Source organism: Homo sapiens, chromosome 1 (assembly GCF_000001405.40).
Source record: "Homo sapiens chromosome 1, GRCh38.p14 Primary Assembly".
In the NCBI taxonomy this organism is placed as follows: Eukaryota; Metazoa; Chordata; class Mammalia; order Primates; family Hominidae; genus Homo; species Homo sapiens.
In genome coordinates, this window is record NC_000001.11 from 146,838,874 (window position 1) to 146,844,232 (window position 5,359).

Genomic DNA, 5,359 nt, shown 5'->3' on the forward strand with positions numbered 1-5,359 from the left:
CCAACACTTGGGGGCACTAGAAATTCAGGATCACTTTAAGCCAGTGTTAGGGTTTGAGATTTTCTGGATTACCCAGATGACTCAGAGCAGGATTGCCACCCTTGGGAAAGCTGGTTTATATCCAGCTCACCTTTCATCTTTTGAGGTCCCAGCCCAGAAGAAAGCATTGTCACCTTCCACAGGCCTTGAACTTTTGCCCTCTTAGCACCAAAAGACCATAAAAAGTACAGACAACGCCTGTAATCCCAGCAACTTGAGAGGCTGAGGTGGGCAGATCAGGATTTTGAGACCAGCCTGGACAACCTGGTAAAATCCCATCTTTACTAAAAACATACAAAAATTAGCTGGGCATGGTGACTCGCGCCTGTAATCCTAGCTACTCTGGAGGCTGAGGCAGGAGAATCGCCAGAACCCGGGAGACAAAGGTTGCAGTGAGCCAAGATTTCACCACTGCGCTCCGGCCTGGGTGACAGAGTGAGATTCCGTATCAAAATTTAAAAAAAAAAAAATGTGCAGACAAGCCTCCTGTCTACCTTTTCCTGACTGGCAAATGCTCTGGGCGGACAAAAACTGCCCAGAAAGTGAGACTGACCTTGCTGGATTTCTATACTCTCACAGATCCTGGTCTATTTACTCCTCATTCTCTTCGTAGCTCTGTTATGCTTAAAAAAAATTTTTTTTTATATATTTAGTCTAGCAATTGTTGTTGCCTTGAGCTCAGGTTACCTAGTTTACCATTACCCTGCATCGTTTCCATTATTGTGGCTTTATAATATGTTTTAGCATCTGGTTCAGTGAATTCCTATCCACCCATTCCCTGTTTTTGCCATTTTTCTTAACAATTTTCACCTATTAATCTCTCAAATAAGCTTTATAATTATTTTATAACGTTCCTTTAAAAATCCCATCGGGAAGCCTCTGAATCTGGTAGAATTTCTGCTTGCGGAGTATTTAGACTCTCCACCAGGAACATTTAGGATTTCCACCCATTTATTTAGATCTTTTATGTCAATATTCTTACATATAATTCTTCCATATAGCTTCTTATTAAAGTTGTTTCTAAATACATAATTTTTTATCTCAGAAGCTTCCCGTGTGATATCACTATTTCTGCCTTCTCCATGCCTCATATTTTGTATTATTCAATCTTTTTCATGATGGTGCCAACATTACTGTCTTCTAACAATGCCTGCTGATGTCTCATATCCGAAATCAGATGCATGGCTTTAGTCTTATCTTCCTTATAATGGGCCAGAAACCACCACTTTCTCCAAGTAGGTCAAATGCCCACCTTGTTTTTTCTCTTATTGTGGTAGGATGCTCAACATGACACTATCAGGCAACTAAACTAATGCATAGCACCTAGGAGATACTGGTTTTTAGGAATTGACATCAATGCAGGCCCTTATAGAATTACAAGTATTCATTTGCATTTTATTGGCCTAGCGTATATTTTATAACTGCCTCTGTTAATGACAGAGGTGTTGGCAACCACATTTTGACACTACCTACGTGATCTGGAAAGTTCTGCATACTCCTTGGACCTCCAGTTCCTCACTCAGATAACAAGGGCTGATCTGACTGAATGTTCTTCTGTCCTCTCCAGGTCTAATATTTATTATTTATCTCTCTTAATAAGAAATTCAAAAAAGTGAATACTAGGCATAATACCTTTTTGGGGTCCTGCCCCAAACACAGCACAGTATCTCACCCCAGACTCAAAGCCCATGAGCAGCCTGTAAGCCTAGCACTCATCCCTGCTTTCCTTCTGCCAGCTGCATGTTGACCTGCAGGATGAGCTAGGAGTCTTCTCCCTGAAAGGGAGGCCCACCACCGCGTATATCTACATCACAGAGGAAAACAAACCACATGTAAAAGGTAAGTGTGGGGAGGGTGCTTCTAGAGGGCAATGGGTCTCAGTAGCTGCTTCATTAGGGGACCACTCAAGGCCCAGCCAGAGGGGAATGCCCAGTCTCGTCACCACTGGCCTCTAGCTAAGGCTCGTTCCCATTCTAGGGTTACTTTCCCTTCAACAGGGGTCTTTATAGATACACATTTCTTGAAACTAGTTCTAAATCATATCTTCTCTCTTCTCTTTGCAGCAAAGAAAGCTCACACAGCCTCCTTGGTTGTTTCTCCTGGAGATACAGCTGAATTTGATGTCGTTTTCCACTCCCAGAAGGTTGGGAGGATGAGAGGTATCATCCACTTGTCAGTGATCAACAACCAATATGAGGAGACCTCCATCCACATGGTGGGAGAGGGCTATGAGGATGACATCACCTTGGACAACATCCATGGACTGGTGGCCCCCACCAGCCAGGAAGACATAAGTATCTCTGAGTTCACAGAGATCATCGAGGACAATGATATGGAAGACTTGGTGGCAGGTGGGAGAAACAGCAGTGAAGTGTTGGCAAGTGTTGGCTACTGGGTCATTTGTTTTAAATGAGAGTAAATTTAAATAACAGGTTGGTTAGCTCCCTGAGAATTTAGGACTGACTCTCCTCTTCATTACTCTATGCTCTGGCATGCCTGGCTCAGTCATGGCATCCATCCTTCCATTTATTCATGTGTTCACTCGATGAATATGTATTGATCACCAAGTACATGTTCCAGGCATGCTGATCCCTGGAGTTTCAAAATTAACAAGGAAGTCTCTACTCTTAAGGAGCTTATAGTTTGATATTCAAATTCTGGTTCAACTAATAAGCAAATAAATGCCTTGCAGTTTTTCCTGTCTGCATTTATTAGCTGGCTTGTGTTGGCATTGTCTGTTTATTAGAGAGAGTATAGGTTTGGGCACTTCTAGAACATCACTCTGCACAGCCCCACTACTCAATGAGCAGTTTGAGATCCTATGGCATCAGCATCACCTGGGAGCTTGTTAGAAATGGGGGTTTCAGACCCCCCTGCCCTACTGAATCAGAAACCACATTTTAACAAGGCCCCAGGTGACGTGTTTTTATACTAAAGCTTAAGACATGTTGTGCTGCAATCTATCAAGCACTAAAGCTTCATTTAGTTGACATTTTTGGGGATTGGAAAAATTTATCATCAAATTGTTATCATCAGAAGGCATTGGTTAAGCGCCCTAATTATGTGGTTGGTTGCTAAAAAGTGAGTTATAAACAGAGTCCCATAGTTTACCTAGAAGCTTAATTAAAGTCCTGGAATGTACCGTTAGGTGGTCTACACAACATGGGTTGAAATCAACACTCCTCATATACCTGGTGTTTCAGCCCTGTTTGAGGCTACAGGGTGACATCTCTCTTACCAAGGCTCAAGCAGGAGCCAGCAGTGAATCTAAGTTCAGAACTCAGATTTCATGCCCATAATAGGATTGCCAGAGTTAGCAAATCAGAATACAAGACTCCTCAATAAATTGGAATTTTGGTTAAACTATGAATAATTTTTAGTATATGTATATCCCAAACATGGCATGGGACATACTTATCCTAAAAATTATTCATTTCTTATCTGTAATTCAAATTTAACCAGGACTCCTATATTTTATCTGGCAATCCCAATCCTTTATAATATTTTCTCACCAAACAAATGGAGTTGGGGACCTATGTTTTCTCTTGTACAAATGGAGGTGAGGGCTAAGGTGGGTGAATGGATGATGGATGGATGGATGAAGGGATAGAGGGATGGATGGGTAGATGATAGATGAATGGGTGGATGGATACATGCATGCATGCATGGATGAGTAGATGATGGATGGATGGGTGGATGATGATGGGTAGATAGGTGAGTGGGTAGGTGGATGATGGGTGAGTGGGTAGGTAGATGATAGATGAATTAATGGATGGATGGGTGGATGATGGATGGATGGATGGGTGGGTGGGTGGATGATGGATGGATATATGGATGGATGGATGCATGGATGGATGGATGATGGATGGGTGGATGATGGATGGATGAGTGGGTGAGCAGGTGGATGATGGATGGATGGGAGGGTGGATAATGGATGGATGGATGGATGGATGGGTGGGTAGGGAGATGATGGATGGGTGGATAGGTGGATGGTGGATGGGTGGATGATGGATGGATGCGAGGGTGGATGGATGATGGGTGGGTGGGTGGATGATGGCTGGATGGGTGGGTGGATGGATGATGGCAGGATGGGGGAGGGTGGATGGTGGATGGATGAATGGATGATGGATGGATGGATGGATAGGTGAGTGATGGATAGGTGGATGATGGATGGGTGGATAATGGATGGATGAGAGGGATGGATGGATAGATAGATGATGGATGGGTAGATGATGGGTGGGTGGATGATGGATGGATGGATGGATGGATGGATGGATAGATGGATGGATGGGTGGATAGATAGATTCCTTGAGGATAGAAATCTTGTTACTCAGAGATTCTAGGTTTCTCAAATATAGCCATCCAAGGATGGAAGGACTGCATGTGAGTGAAGCACTATGCCTCCTTAAGGCAGCAGGCCCTCAGGGGAGGCCAGGGAGGACTCACAGCCTTCTGCTTCTAATCCCTAGCTGCTCTGGTGGACCACATCCAATTTGGGGACTGCCACATTGGACACAGCTATAATGCGAGCTTCACAGTCACAAATCACAGCCAAGTGAACTTGATACGGTTTGAATGGCCTGTTTCAGCTACAATTGCTTTCTCCCCACAGGTAAATAAAAGTCATTCATCATTTTTGGAATCCCTTAGTCCTAAGCCAACCCCAGACTGATTGTCAGCCCTTTCCCGTGGATGCATGGAATGGAATTAATGCATCTCAAGCTGAGAGACAGCCCAGGAATCATCCCTCACTCATACCTAGTAGCAAAGAACACTGTTCATGTCTCTCCTGGTTAAGAGGGGAAGACGGAGAATGAAGTTGACCAAAACTGTTGCTAGGCTGCTGTCAACGGGCCCTGTGGAGGCCTGTATAGATGAATACAGGTCCTAGTCTTCCTATCCCAGATTGTGGAGCTGTGTCCTCCTAGGTGTGTGTCCTTTAGAGTATCAGTCCTTCAAAATGCTTCACCAAAAGCTAGAATGGGGGTGATGGGTTCTGTGGACAACTGAGATTTAGAAAATGTTCCAAGCTCCATCCTTCCTTAAATATTCCTGGTTCTCTTTGGCATGTTAAAACCTTGTTAACTTTGTTTTACCTGGAATTTTCTAACCTCTTCTTTTAGCATCTCCACAGCACACATTTTTTTTTGAATTGCTGACTAAAGCTTGACATTGAACAAGGCCTAGGATAACGTTCTAGAAGATCGTTGCCTCTGGCCAGTGGTTGCTTTTTGTAGATAGTTCATTTCTGAGTTCCCAGAGCATGCACACCCCAGTGTCTTCACTGCCTCCTGCTCTGTTGATACACAGCCAGTGAGTC